We start from the raw sequence: 16,382 nt of genomic DNA on the forward strand, positions 1-16,382 counted from the left end.
CTTCTAAGCGGCGAGAGCTGCCACCTTGCCAATGACTCAACCGTTTGCCTATGCCCTCTGGGCTGTGCCACCAGCCGCAGCCGCCCTGCTCCCCCACCCACCCTTCTCCCCAGGCTCCGCGCCGCGCCGCCAGTCCCAGGGGAGCCGCCGGCGCACCTGGCGCCTAGGGCGCACGGCACTGCGCGCTGGTGGGCACCTCACCCGACGCCAGCTGCCAGCGCGCTCCCTCCCCGAAACCCTGAAGTGGGGTGTCTTGTCTAGCGCCCAGCGAACAACATTATCCAATTGCTTCCCGTTTTATTCGCAGGCTGGGAGCTGAGAGAGCCTGAGCATTCACTTTCAACCCTCCAGGGGAGGAGGGGGTGCGGGTGGGGAGGGGAGACGGCTCCCAGCTCCACCTCGCGCGCGGCGCGGCCAGTGCACTCGGCTCCGGGAGAGGCGAGCAGCGCCGGTGAGCCCCGCAGCAGCGCACCCGGCCGCGGAGCCCCGCGATGGAGTGAGTATCCCCGAGCCGCGCCGCCAGCTGCTCTCCTCTCGGCATGTTGCCATGGTGACCGCGGCGGCAGGCAGATCCCGCTCGGGTCCGCGTCCAGGATGGGTGTTTAATTTCAGCCCCGTGTGTACGCCTGGTGTTTCTATAGCAGCCGCCGCGGCGGCAGGAGGCAAGGGGTGGGAGCCCCGGGTGGCGTGGTTTTTGCGGCTGCCCCTTGGCTAGCAGGGCCTGGGGGGCGAGTGAGGGGAGTAGATGATGTTGCTAAGGACGGAGGCATATTCTAGGCTTTCCTATCTCTGCCCCAAGCTTCCGCTTATCGGGGAGTTGGCCGCAATAGCCATGACTTCCGATTCCTAACCATGTCAGCATTATTGGACTGCAGTTAAAAAAAGAGGGAGGGGGTCACTGCGGATCGGAAGCAAACGCGGTTCAGTGTGAAGCGTGTAATGGAAGGATGAGTTAGTGGGTAATATGAGCCAGGGCTGCAATGTCCTGGCTACTAGAAACCATCAGAAGACCCAAAAGAATTGATTTGTTCCTGGGGTATTGGAGAAATAAGACAAACATATTGGCGGCAGCCCGGAGTGGAATTACAACGTTTGGCACCGTGAATACGGCATGGATGGGTGGGGAAGACAAGAGAGGCATTAACCAGAAAAGACATTAAATAAAGGGCTCCGGTTGTGGGTCTGGTCTAGGATTCCTCTCTTCTCTGTGTTTGCATCCCTACATTGCTTTTTGGACACTCTCTCGAGCTGCTGCCACAGCAGGACCACTCTGACAGGCGACAGCCAGCCACTCCAAGGAAGGGTCATTTTTGGAGCCAGCTATTAGATCCCGCTCACTTGGTCAGCTTCTCCTCTTCCGTTCTCTTCCCACACTACTCCTTGACATTGAGGCCGTCTGAAATCATATTTCAAGTTAGAGATAAAGTCATGTTTTCAGACATCAGGACCTTCGTACCAAACCCAAGAAACCTTAGATGCAGCCTTTATCCCTCTGCGTATCTGATTGTGTAGATGCAATTTAATCCTCAGAAAGGCTGCTAAAGCAGAAGTGAGAGATGGTGTAGCATTGTAGGAGTCACAGTCATGGATTTCAGGCCCCACCTAGCCTGATACTGCTGTTATTGATTTCCTACTCCAGCAATTGAATGTCTCTGAGCCTCAGTTTCCCTATCTCTGCAATGGAAACAAAGATGTTCCTTACTCACTTTGAAGCATTATTGAGAGGATCATGTAATATCTGTATCTCTTCCAAAGGGCTTTGTAAATTGTAAGATATGTACAAATTTAAGGAACTAGTGTCATGTTTAAGAGCTGGGCTCTAGAGTCAGATTGGCTGGTTTGAGGCTTCTGACACTTTGCTGAATGATGTTAATCTCCCTGGGCCTCATTTTCCCCATCTGGAAAATGGGAATAATAATAGTAACTATTTCATGTACTTTTTGTGAACATTAAGGAAGTTAATGATGTAAATTGATACATACACATATAAGGTTCTTAGAACAGAGCCTGGCATAAAATAAGCTCAATAAATATCATCTATTATCTATGAATATTATCTATTATTATTAGGTTGGTGCAACAGTAATTGCAGTTTTTGCCATTACTTTCAACGGCAAAAACCGCAAATTACTGTTGCACCAACCTAATACTACAGTCTACAGCATTTATTGGGGTTTCGGATTGGCACCAAGCTATTCTTCATTTTAGACAGGGTCTCACTCTGTCACCCAGGCTGGAGTGCAATGGCGCTATCATGGCTCACTGCAGTATTGACCTCCTGGGCTCAAACAATCCTCCCACCTCAGCCTTCTGATGGGACTACAGGCATGCACAACCATGCCCAGCTAATTTTTAATTTTTCATACAGACGGGATTGTCCTATGTTGCTCAGGCTAGTCTTGAACTCCTGGGCTCAAGCAATCCTCCTGCCCCGGTCTTGCTGGGATTATAGGTGTGAGCCACCATGCCCAGTCTTTTTTTTTTTTTTTTAATTTATAAAGAAATACATGGTGTGGTGGTTCATGACTGCAATCTCAGTGCTTTGAGGACAGAGGTGGTAGGAAGTCTTGATGAGCCCAGGAGTTTGAGAATGCGCTGAGCTATAATTGCACCACTGCACTGGGTGACAGAGCAAAACCTCATCTCAAAAAAAGAAAGAAAGGAAGGAAGGAAGGAAGAAGAAAAAGAGAAAGAAAGAAAGAGAAAGAAAGAAAGAAAGAGGGGGAGGGAGGGAGTGAGGGAGGGAAGGAAGGAAAGAAAGGGAAAGACAATGCCTGAAGGGCAATTGAGAGTAACATAATTCCCAAGATACCACTGTTGATGTGAGAACTAGCAAGAAGCCACAGCAGGCTTGGATATACGGAACAGACTCGGCCTGATGCACACTTCATTCTTGTTCCTCACTGTCATTTTCTTAGACATGGAGACTGTCCTTTACAAGAGACTGAACATAGATCTAGTCCTCTCACTGGGTAGCGCTAAAGGAGAGCCTGGTCATTTGCCAGGGCAGCAACTTTCATCTTTATGCTCTCACATGGATAATCTAATATTTGATATGTTTCTCCCAGACTTAGCACTTGGGTGCTCAATAACTGGAACAGCACACAGGATTGGTAAGTTTACAAAGGTCCTCAGCTTTTTCCCACATTCCCTCTGAGTCTCCTGGCTAAGGTTTCCTCCAGGTGTGCTAAGCTCACACCTGGAACTCCTTGTGAACAAAGACCTTCCTCATCACATTCTTCTTGCTCCACAGGATCCAAATTACTGCCTCAATTAGCCTCCTTCTCCCTAATCAACTTGGCCTCAGCTTTCCCATTCCCAAGCAACATTCCAAAGTTCTCACTTCCTGGTTAACCTTCCCAATTTCCAACTCTGTTTTCTGCCCTACTTCGTTTGCTTCCTTAATGTATTAGGCTGTTCCTGCATTGTTATAAAGAAATACCTGAGACAGGGTAATTTATGAAGAAAAGAGCTTTAATTGGCTGATGATTCTGCAGGCTGTATAGAAGTGTGGTACAGGAGTCAGCTCAGCTTCCGGTGAGGCCTCAGGAAGCTTTCAGTCATGGAGAAAGGTGAAGCAGAAGGCTGGCAAGTTGTATGGTGGGAGCAGGAGCAAGAGCAAGGGGTGGCGGGGGTGTCACAGACTTTAAACAACCAGATCTCAGGGGAACTCACTCACTATTGCGAGTGAACACCAAGGCCCCATCCCCAGGATTCACCCCCAGGACCAAAACACTTCCCACCAGGCCCCATGTACAACACTGGGGATTACATCTCAACATGATACCTGGAGGGGGACATCCAATCTACATCACTTAATATAGTGAGCTTTTTCTTTCTTTTTTCCCTTTTAGAATATCATCTTTTCCTGTCCCTCCTTGGGTCTCACAACATTTCCCTTGTGCCAAATACTGCCCCTACCCTTCAATCTAAACACTCCCCAGATTTCATCTCCGGTAGAAAAGCCCACTTTGAATATGAGTGAAATAGGGACTCCATTCCCCTTACTTACTGTAACCAACTTATATTTATAAACATTTATTAAAAGAGGGAATTAAATTCACTTCTTTTATGTTTTAATTTAACCAACAAACGTTTGTTGAGATTAGCACTGGTCAACAAAACAGTCATGATTCTCTTTGTCTGATGAGAGATAGATGTTAAATCAGTAAATATGTGTGTATACTGATTGAATTTCTCCTCAGAAAAGGGGTTTTTCTTTTCTATCACATTGTCAGGCTGCAAATTTTCTCAACTTTTATGCTCTGCTTCCCTTATAAAACCGAATGCCTTTAACAGCACCCAAGTCACCTCTTGAATGCTTTGCTGCTTAGGAATTTCTTCCACCAGATGCCCTAAATCATCTCTCTCAAGTTCAAAGTTCCACAAATCTCTAGGGCAAGGGAAAAATGCTGCCAGTTTCTTTGCTAAAACATAACAAGAGTCACCTTTGCTCCAGTTCCCAACAAAATTTTCATTTCCATCTGAGACCTCCTCAGCCTGGATTTCATTGTCCATATCGTTATCAGCATTTTGGTCAAGGCCATTCAGCAAGTCTCTAGGGAGTTCCGAACTTTCCCACATTTTCCTGTCTTCTTCTGAGCCCTCCAAACTGTTTCAACCTCTGCCTGTTACCCAATTCCAAAGTTGGCTTCACAGTTTTGACTATTTTTTCAGCAACACCCAACTCTACTGGTACCAATGTACTGTATTAGTCTGTTTTCATGCTGCTGATTAAGACATACCTGAGACTGGGCAATTTACAAAGGAAAGAGGTTTAATGGTGAACTCACAGTTCCATGTGGCTGGGGAAGCCTCACAATCATGGCAGAAGGCAAGGAGGAGCAAGTCACATCTTATGTGGAGGGCAGCAGGCAAAAAGAAAGCTTGTGCAGAGAAACTTCAATTTTAAAAACCACCAGATCTCATGAGACCCATTCACTATCATGAGACCAGCAAGGGAAAGGCCTGCCCCCATGATTCAATCATCTCCCACCAGGTGCTTTCCAACACATGGGAATTGTGGGAGCTACAAGACGAGATTTGGGTGGGGACACAGAGAGAAACCATATCACCAAGGTTTCCAATTTAAAATGAAACCTAGTGAAAATGAGGATACATAGTCATTTTTTTCACAAGTATTGTTGGTTTTAGTAAAATAAGAGCTTCTTAGTTTAAGAAAAAAAAAAAAACCCCAGCCATAAAAGAGAATAAAATCATGTCCTTTACAGCAATGTGGATGGAGCTGGATGCCATTATCCTAAATGAGCTAACTCAGAAACAGAAAACCAAATATTGCATGTTCTCATTTATAAGTGAGAGCTAAATGATGTGTACACATGGACATAAAGATGAAAATAATAGATACTGGGAACCTCAAAACAGGGAAGGGTGGGAAGGCACAAGGGTTGAAAAATTACCTATTGAGTACAGTGTTCACTATTTGGGTAATGGGTACATTAGAAGCCCAGTCCCCACCAGTATACAATATACCCATGTAACAAACTTGCGCATGTACTCACCTGAATCTAAAATAAAATAAAATTTACAAAAGGTCTATCTTGGAAAAGAAGAAAAGTCTAATTTCCACCTTAAGAGGCTAGAAGAGCAAACTAAATCCAAAGCAAGCAGAAAAAGAAATAAAAGAAAGAAAGAAAAATCTAGGTAATAAACAAGAAAAGAGGGTACTAACTGATTGAAGTTAAAATTTTTCTTAGTGACATGCTCTGTACTGGATGTGTAGAACAGAGAAGACCTACTGGAAAACCAGAAGGTAGGGTTGGTGTCATGTTCTGTACCATGTCAGTGTTCTTGTGTGGTACATGAAACATCAGGCAATGGCAGGTACTTGCTGCCCTCCTGGGTGGGTTGGGTATGAGATCCATGTGTTTGTAGGAATGCACTTTAACACCTGCAGTTATTAATTTGATGCCACACCTATAGATTTTGCCTCACACTTCTCTGGAATGGTCTTCAAAACAGTATGGGATCCAAAAGGCACAAAGAACATAACACGAGAACTCTAAGTTGTTGCGATCCCTGTAAGCCCTGGGGCTCTGACAATGTGGGTGGCAGCCTTGGACCAGAAGTGGCATTCCCCATCACCAGTCAGATGCCTGTTATCACATGGACTTAGGCTTATAGCATCCAGTGGTGATCATGAAACATCTGAAGTTTGATTCTGCAAATGAATAAATCTAGGTTCATGAAAGAATAAGTGCAGTAGGGACATTAAGTTACAGATAACTTAAGGTTCTTAACATATGCCTTCATTCATTCATCCAGTAACTCATTTAGTTAGCAAATATTTATTGAATACTTTCTATGTATGAAGCACTGTGATAGGTACTTGCGATAAATGGTGATTAAAAACATCCCTTACCCTGTCTTCAAGGAGCTTACGGCTTAGTCTATGTGTGACTATGGATACTTTGTGAGTTTGAACTATTTTTCTTGCTGAATCAGTCTTCTGATGACACAAAATGTGGCATTTCGTGTGCTCAGCATATGGTGGGCATTAAACAAATGTGTTTAGAAATGTGTAAGACTTTTAGAAGTTAATTTCTATGATGAAAGTAATGTATGCTTTTTAAAACAATTCAAATATTACGGAAGTTTATGAAGTAAATATCCCCATTTTCCATTCTCTCACTCATATCTCAGTTCCTAGAGGTGATTACCATGAACGCTTGGGAAACCTCTTTCCAGATATTTTCCATGCAAACATCATAGAGTTGGAAACACTTATATATATATATAGGTTTAAATATTTCTTTTACATAAATGAAATCATACCACATATGTTGTTCTGCAGCTTGCTTTTTCCACTTCATATTATATTCTACATACTTTTTCTTATCAATGTATGTCAGCCTGTGTAGCTCAGTGGTAAAGCACATGCTTTGAATATCAATATATACACATCTACTTCATTCACTTTTATAAAACTGCTTAGTATTTACTTTTGGAATATCATTAACCAGTTCTTCATGATGAAGAGTTAGACTTGTTTCCACTTTTTGCTACTATTTTCAATGCTACAATGAACATCCTTGTCCACACTGCAAATAAGTCTGCATACAATTTTCTAGAAATGAAATTGCTGGGTGAGTGAATATGCACATTGTGAATTTTGTTAGATATTGCCCAGGTGCCTCCGGAAGTATTGTATCCCTTTACATTGCCATTCATCATGTTTGAGAGCCCCTGTTTCCCCAAATCCTTGACAACCCTAGCCACATTATATATTCATATTTGAATATTTATGTTTGACTAGTCTAACTTGATGTACATCATCACTGTCAGTGGTCGTGGTCTGTGCTCTTGCTCTGTCTACTTGTCACTTTCTCAGAGAGCCCTAGTAAGCCACAAGGTGCAAATGTTCAGAAGACAGTGAAAATCACTTACAAAGACAAAGCTTAAAATATCTCATTGACTTTTAAAAGTGATCAAGTGATTGTTTTACAGTTCATCAAATTTAGACTTTATTGATAGATTTCTTACCTTAAAGTTGAGGAAATGAGCACATGTCACTTAGCCCCCCTTTTACCATTTGTTGCAGTTATAGTGTGATATAGTTTGGCTCTGTGTCCCCACCCAAATATCATCTCAAACTGTAGTCCCCATGTGTTCAGGAAGGGACCTGGTAGGAGGTGACTGGATTATGGGGATGGTTTCCCCCATGCTGTTCTCATGATAGTGAGTGAATTCTCACAAGATCTGATAGTTTAAAAGTGGCAGTTTCCCCTGCTCTTTCTCTCTGTCCTGCTGCCATGTAAGACGTGCCTGCTTCCCCTTCCACCATGATTGTAAGTTTCCTGAGGCCTCTCCAGCCATGCAGAACTGTGAGTCAATAAAACCTCTTTGTTTACAAATTATCTAGTCTCAGGTAGTATCTTTATAATAGTGTGAAAATGGACTAATACTTAGTGTTAGTTTTATGTTTTCAAAGTTTTTAGCATTTGCAAATTTGAACATAATTCTCTTAATTCATTCAATCGACGGATTCTTTTTGAGTGCCCTTTTCATCCTAGGCACTGCTCCAAGCACTGAGAATACAGCAGTAAATTGTCAAAGAGGCAAAGGAGCTTATATTGTGTTAGAGGAGACAGACAATACATATATTACATATATACTTTGTCAGGAAGCAATAAATGTTAAAAAAATTAAGCACATTAGGAGACTGGAGAGTGATGGGAGGGTTATTTTTGATAGTGTCATCAGGGAACAGGTTTCTGACTTGGTAAGTTTGGATAGAGACTTGAACAAGGTGAGGGGATGAGACATACAGAAGAAGGAAGAGCAGTTGCAAAGGTCCTGAGGCAGGGCCATGCTTTGTGGGCTCAGTGTTAGTCTTGGATCTAAATGCAGTCAGAACACCACCAGCCCTTTCATCAATGACATCCTCTTTTTTGAGCATCTTATAGGTTGATTTAGTGTTTAGTTAAAAGGGTTTGTTTTCAAACAGGGCCAAAGTGTATTAAATTCTAAATGCCTGTTGGTTGTTTCTATGAACAAACAAGTTGAATGTGTATAAAATTATAGAATCATGTTTTTAGCCCCTCATAATTCTCCAAGATGTCATTCCATTGTGTTCTGGCATTGACCCTTGCTCTGGGAAGGTCTGAGGCTAGACTATTTCTTCTTTGTAGATGGCTTGCCTACTCCCATCCCTCCCACTCCTGCAATTTTTTTTTTTGGCTTTGATGCTGATCAAGTTATTTTTAAACACTGAAAGTTTGGTAACTTCTCTTTGATATTTCTTACTGTAAGTCATTGTGTTGTTGTTTTTTTTTTCTGGAAAATGGTAGTTCCTTTGTTCTGAAGAGTCATATTTTCCTTTATTTTTTTGTAAAGATATTTTCCCTGTGGCTTTCAATTGAAGAATCTATTTGTTCTGTTATCTACCACAGGGACATCTATTACCCATTGCTCTCCATAACTATTAATTCTGAATTTTTCTCATTTTTTTCCTGATGTTCCTATGAGTTTCCTTACATTTAAAAGTCTGTCATGTAGATAGTTGACTCTCTTTTTAAGCAGCAGTTTCTAAGTAGGGCTCACTTCTGAAATGGTTTTATGGTTATCTTCAATTTATTTTCTGGCTTGGCTAGCACATTTTGCACTTTTTAAAATAAAGAGTTCATGTATCCAATTTTTTTGAATGTATGGAGAGTAGTTTATCAGAAAATTATCTGTATTTTTTGGGCTATTTTTCTGAAATGTATTTATCTGCCATTTGCTGGTAACTCATTTTTATAAAAATAATAACTCTGCATATAGAATCTATGCATGTTAATGGCTTTGCATTTATTATCCATTTCCAAATAGAGGTAATTCTATCCAAACCTACTATTTGCCCAAGAATAGGTAGAGGGGATGGAGACAGTGATTTGGGGGAGACATTAGCTTTGGATTGGATATTTTGTCTCATAAAAAATTCTTACAACTCTGCAATATCTTCTGTTCAAAAAAGTTGTGTAGAGAGTGAGCAGATCATTCAGACAGATCACATATCCCAGCTTACTGAGTGTGTGTGAGTTGCGGGAGGGTAGACAGATTTTTGGTGCTTTACCACTACTTGATGACTTGGTTTAGCATTTATGAAGAGAGTGGCAGGGCAAATCGACTACAAAGGTAATTGCTCTTTTCCTTCTATTTTCCTACATCTCTTGCCTTGAGATGATTCCTCCATGTTAAGGTTTTCAGTTTTCGGGTTTTGCAGATAATAAACATTAAGGATTCACACAGTAGTGCCATCGGTGTCACTTTCTCCATCAGTTCACTCTGGTAGGGAACCAGCCCCTTCACACAGATGTCCCCCACGTTTTGCCAGTTCTCACCACCAAACATTGGGCCTTTGTGTACTCTCTCCTTACTTAGAGAGAAATTTGAAAGCCAGTTAAGATCTGTAGAGGACTATATCACCTTTTAGGGTTGTCCACTGATTTAATAAAAATTATACTCTGTTTGGCAGATAATTCTTATAGCTTGTGATTTGAGAATTGTAGCTCTTTGCTAGTTTCATAGTAGATCAATTTATTCATTTATTTATTTGTTTTTTAGAGATGAAGACTTGCTCTGTCACCTAGGCTGGAGCATAGTAGCACAATCAGAGCTCACTGCAGCCTTGAATTCCTGGGCTCAAGAGATCTTCTTGCCGCAGGGCCCAAAGTAGATGGGACTATAGGCATACACCATCATGCCTGGCTAATTTTTAAATTATTTTCATTTTTATTAGAGATAGGCTCTCACTAAGTTGTCCAAGTTGGTCTCAAATTCCTGGCCTTAAGCAATCCTCCCACTTCAGCATCCCAAAGTGCTGGGATTATAGAGGTGAGCCACCATACCTAGCCTCACAGTAGACACAATTTTCCTTCCAATTTTTCCTTCTTTTAGTTCATTTCAGCGGCTTTGAGGGAAGCACAGAGAAGACTTTACCATATCTTTGAGTTAATGAATCAATGAATCTTGTGTTTCTACGAAAATAATATTAGTAACTACCAAATGTCATTGTTATTAACAAATCTGTTGTTATTATATATCTTTATTCTCTCTCAATTCTTAGGAATGTGTATGGCAAAAAAAGAGTTCATGAATGAGATTATAAATACTTTGCAGTAGAAGTATTTTGGAAAGGGTGTATCTGGTGATGTTCTCCATCTCATCCTTCAAATCCATTTTCTACCCTTCCCTGCCTATGTGCCTCATGAGGCTGTGCTTTGTGCCCTGTGAGGCTGACCTCTATGGACTCCCTCAGCTTGCCTCTCTTACTCTTTGACTTCCTGTTGAGTTGGCTCAATGGAAGGCACCAGCAGGAGAACCATGGATGAGAGAAAATTGAGGTCAGTGTACGGTTTAATCTATGGTTTCTCTTCCTACAGGGCAGTGGGTTGGCCAGGGCATCTTTCCTCTTCTGAAGGCCACAGCAGCCCTTCCTACTGCTACAGCTACAGCTCTCTCCCACTGCTGGTAGCCACTTCCTTCCTTTGCTCCTCTGGGACTTGATGTGGCGATGGCTCCCTTATCACTTTGTTAGCCCCTGGGTGCTTCACCATTGCTGTGGGTTACTGTCAGCTCTGCCTTTGCCTTTGTAAAGCAGTCTCTTTATTAAGATTATTTCAATTATCCAGTTGGAGTATGCCATCTGCTTCCAGCTGGGATCCTAGCTCACACAGCATGTGAGGATAGAAGCACTGAAAGTCTTATGAGAACCCTTCTTATTGCCGGGATGGAATCTGGTGATTTCTGTTTGTTCATACATTCTGGTCATTGGACCTCAAGGTTCCAATATAGGGAAGAGATATTGAGTGTTGTTATGTGCACACTCAAATATTTAAGAAGGAGACACTCCTATTCCACAGATATCAAAGTGCTCATTTACTTCCCACTGAAAGATGTCATTTTCTTATATATAACTTATAATAAAAATTCCCCAAATTTGATGCCTTAGAGGGAAGACCAATCTCAGTTATGAGTAGGCTTAATCAAAATTTTATTTTATTTAAAGAAATGAAATCTCATTTCTCTTCATTATAGGAAGGAACATTCCTGGTCGAAATTCTGTTTTTGTAAATAGGTCTTTATAGTATTTGATGTGCTATTTAAAAATGTGATAATTTAACCTATTAATAGTACATAAATGGATGCTACCTAAATTACTGCCAAGTCAATTAAGTCTATACCATCATGTGTAATCTTTTTCACAGATAGTACAAAAGCATAAAATATAGTGTAATGAAAATGTGTGTTTCACAAGTTCTGAATAAATGGGTTATAAATTAAATATATCACAATCCACTGACTTTTATATAGTATTTTGATATAGTTTGGATATTTGTCCTCCCACCCAGATCTCATGTTGAAATGTGATCCCCAGTGTTGGCAGTGGGGCCTAGTGAGAAGTGTTTGAGTCATGAGGGTGGATCCCTCATGAATGGCTTGGTACCTTCCCTGAAGTAATAAATTAGCTCATGCAAGAGCTGACTGTTTAACAGAGCCTGGCACCTCCTCCCCTCTCTCTTGCCATGTGACACTCCTGCTCCCCTTCACCTTCTGCCGTGAGTGGAAGCTTCCTGAGGCCTCACCAGAAGCAGATGCTGGTGTTATGCTTCTTGAACAGTCTGCAGAACTGTGAGCCAAATAAATCTGTTTTCCTTATAAATTACCTAGTCTCCAGTATTTCTTTATAGCAATGCAAAAACAGACTAATACATATCTCATACTTGAAAAGTCAGTTGTTGTTTAGACTGCTTGCCCTACTTTTAATACTTCAATTTCTCTGTCAATCATGTTTATTTATTAATTCATTCAACTCATAATTATTAAGTACCTGGTATGTGCCAGACACTTTTATGGGTATCTGTGGTACAAATAGGAGTAAGACATTGTCTTTGCCTTCATAGGGGTCACAATCTAATGAGAAACATAGTTGGTCAGGTAATTATAATAAAACATGGCAAGTGTTTATTCAAAGGAAAGGTTTGATGGAATACTATCTGTCAGAGGCACATAGCCTTGGGGCAGGAGCCTAAATGAATTTTAGGAGTCCAGGGATTCTAAGATGAGGTCAAAATCCAAGCCTATTTCATAGCCCTTGAAATTAATTTAGCATAAAAAAATCTTTAATGTTTGGACTAGTCATCTTACAACTGGTTAAGTCATTTACTTAAAAAATTAGCAACCCAAATCCTGTATTAAAACTAGTTTGAATAACCGACTTAACCTTCAACTCTTTTAGTTTGCACTATGACTAATGCTGCCTCCGTGATCATGGGTGAGGCAGCATTGTGGAGAATGCCTGCCCCCTTGAGGAATCAGAAACTCAGCTTTCAGATGATGGTGCAAAGTGGGATCACAAACAAAATGAAACAAAAAACAAAGAACAAAAAGGAAACAACACAAAAACCAAAACAGAACAAACAAAACGATATGAAGATTTGGTGGGCACTGCTAAACCCTTTGTAGATACTTGGTTTTAGTCACGTTTGCTGAGATCACATCGAAAGCCTCTGAACCTCTGAAAGGCATTAAAAGTTGTCCCACTGCACCTATGAGCCATCCAGAGAAACGTTAAATAAGTTGGTCCAGAAACACTTTTGAAGTCCTCCATCCTTTCAATACTTTTCTTACTTCTTTGCTTCTGAGCGGGAGGTGCAGCATTTAAAATCAAAGACATTAATAATAAGGTCTCATTTCCTAAGACAGCATCTTTCCCACTGCAATGTGCATATGAATCATTTGGGGTCATGTTGAAAAGCAGATCCTGATTCTGTAGATAGGGGGTGTAGTTGGGGGGTTCCTGTGTTCCCAACAAGCTTCCCAGGAGGTGATGCTGATGCTGCTGGTCTGCAGACCACACTCTGAGTAGCAACATTCTCAGTGCAAATATAGAGCACAGGGCTTTATATAACACAAGATGTGGGTGTGGGGTTCCTCATCCTTTTACATTTCCCATCCTAAGACAATCTCATAGTAGGCGAGTCTGATGATGAATTGGAGTTCAACAATCTGTGTGTGGAACAAGTAAACACACAGAGCAAAACCTGGCTCTTCATTTTAATTGGCACAACTTAGCAGTTACATGTGGATAGGCAAAGTCTCTATTTTTTGGGAAATCAGAATGGGGTAGGGGTTAGCCAATAAGTGTATATGAGATAGATAAATGCAATCTTATCTTTTAAAATATGATTTGAAAATTTTGTGGTCATAAATAATTTATATCCTAAAAATATTCTTCTTTGGTCAGTCCTTTAATATTTTAAAAGTAGTGAATCTAATTGTTTATGGCCTCATGTGGCTGTAAGCCATAATATCTTGGTATAAATCTCTAGTTATGATTATATGGATATAATATGAATATGATGTGTTAGGCCCAAGAAGCTCGTGGTATTCCATTTTCTGAACAAGATCAATAAACTCTGGGATCCTTACTATTAAAAGCAAGGGAAAAGCAACTTGTTTTGTAAAAGATAATTCAAACATGTTAGTAAGTTGTGTTTTCATTTATGTGAGATGAGAATTATCTCCAAAACTCTTTCATTGTAATGGGAGCTAAGCTTTATAAAGACAATGCATATTTGTTAATTAGACTGCACAGAACAAGGTTCAGTTATGGATTCTTGATTGCTTGGTAAAATGATGGCTCTTCAAACCTAATTACATTTGGGTGAGCTAAAGCACAGTTCTGAAGGACTCAATATGTTCACTCCCAGCCTTCATCAGCTGTACAATTTGCTTTCCTGTTAGTTTTACTTTAGATCTTGAAATTAAAAGCATTTTGTTATATCAGGATGGTGTGTCTATGACTTCAGTGCAAGTAGAGGAGGAGTGTTCTACCCTGGAATAACACAAATTAGAGGTGCCTGTATGTATGTGTATGGTGTGTGTGTGTGTGTGTGTGTGTGTGTATATGTATTAAACTTCATGCTTTTTAAAGCCTCCTTCTAAAATGCCATCTTTCAGATGTGCCTATCTGTGTCTTATTTTGGTAGTTTTTCTTTTCTTTCCCCATTCAACCGTCTCTTGGGAATTAGAAAAGGATTCCTAAGATCAAAATCCCCAATTTTCTGGAAAAGCTTTGGCACTTGTTACTCTCTCCCCACATTTTCCTGCTTCCTAAGATTGGTCAAGGGCAGGGGCCGGGCGCGGTGGCTCACGCCTGTAATCCCAGCACTTTGGGAGGCCGAGGCAGGTGGATCACGAGGTCAGGAGATTGAGACCATCCTGGCTGATGGTCTCAGGGTTTCACCATGTCTCTACTAAAAGTACAAAAAAATTAGCCGGGTGTGGTGGCGGGCGCCTGTAGTCCCAGCTACTCGGGAGGCTGAGGCAGGAGAATGGCATGAACCTGGGAGGTGGAGCTTGCACCGCGTGAGCCGAGATCGGCCACTGCACTCCAGGCTGGGCGACAGAGCGAGACTCGGTCTCAAAAAAAAAAAAAAAAAAAAGATTGCTCAAGGGCAGCCATAGGCCCTCTGGGTGACAAGGAACAGAGATTTATATAGTCCATCTTACAAAATATGGATAAAGGGTCTCTTTCTCTCTATATATATGTATTTTGTGTGTGTGGTAAAATATACATAGCATAAAATTTACCATTGTAACCATTTATAAGTGCATAATTCAGTGGCATTAAGTACATTAACCATGTTGTGCAATCATCACCATTTCCAGAACTTTTTCATCATCCCAGACTGAAACTCTCTACCCATAAAACATCATCTCCCTATTCTCCCCACCCCCTACCCCCCATTCTACTTTTGGTTTCTGTGAAACTGCCTACTCTAGGTGCCCCATATATGTAGAATCAAACACTATTTATTCTTTTGTGTCTGGATAATTTCACTTTGTGTAATGCTTTGAAGGTTTATCCCTGTTGTAGCCTGTGTCAAAATTTTATTCCTTTTTAAGGCTGAATAATATTCCATTGTATGGCTATACCACGTTTTATTATTCATTCATCTATTGATGGACATTTGGGTTGTTTCCCCCTTTTGGGTATCATGAATAGTGCTGCCATGAACACTGGTGTACAAGTATGTGTTTGAGCTTTATATTCTTTTGGGCATAAGGGTTAATAGATATTTATTGAAAGCCTATTATGAGCCAGTACAGTATTTTCTAGAAGTTGAGGCTATTGAGGAAATGGACAGCATCCCAGCCCTTGTATAAACACAAGAATGATAAATAAGCAATTCTAGATACCAATAAAATCCTACCAGAAAAAGAAAATTTAAAAATGGGTTAGAGTATCTGACGTTGGGGCAAAAAGTGGGTATGGGCAACCTCATGTAACATAGGAGGAAGGAGAGCTCCAGGCAAAAGGAATGGCCAGTGCGAAGCCTGAGCTAGAAAGGGCGCCATGGTGGTGGAAGGGGCTCGAGGGTGGTGACTGGGGGAGATGCTGGGGGAGAAGAGGTCAGAGGCTAGGTCAGCCAGACCTTCTAGGCCACTTAGGTCCAGGTGTCACAAGGCTCAAAGTTTATGCAACTTTGAAGGCCCTTGCAGAGGAAGAATAAAAACATATCTTCCTTTTGCAAACTTTACAAAAACATGCCCATCCCTTGAAAACACATTACTAGGTCCCTTCCAGAGTTTTCAGGGGCTCCAAGTGAGGGGCCGTGGCTCTTAAGCTTCAGTGGGTCCACAGTGATCTGTCTCTGAGTGCTGTAGCAAGAGTCTGGCTTTTGTTTAGATGATGAAAGGAAACTATTGGGGGATTTTAAGCAGAGGAGTTACACAATCTGATATGTAGTTTAACAAGATGGTTATGGTTGTTGTGTGAAGAACGGGCTGTAGAGGGCAAAGAGGAATTAGGGGATGAGAGGAGGCTGGAGACCTGTTGCAGGTGAGAACTGAAGGGTGTGATTGATGGCTGTGCC

General features: G+C 41.4%; 1 protein-coding gene across 1 annotated transcript in view; it reads left to right on the plus strand.

Annotated features, from left to right (window-relative positions):
• Positions 1-416: 416 nt before the first annotated feature.
• The window catches only part of PALM2AKAP2 (PALM2 and AKAP2 fusion), a 531,726-nt gene continuing 515,760 nt past the window's right edge, over positions 417-16,382 (plus strand). Inside the window, exon 1 of the mRNA NM_001037293.3 lies at positions 417-496. Within this exon, the coding sequence (NP_001032370.1) occupies positions 492-496 (5 nt within the window). The 5' untranslated portion in view covers positions 417-491. The remainder of the gene's footprint in view (positions 497-16,382) is intronic.

The sequence above is a fragment of the Homo sapiens genome, chromosome 9, assembly GCF_000001405.40.
Source record: "Homo sapiens chromosome 9, GRCh38.p14 Primary Assembly".
Taxonomy (NCBI): Eukaryota; Metazoa; Chordata; class Mammalia; order Primates; family Hominidae; genus Homo; species Homo sapiens.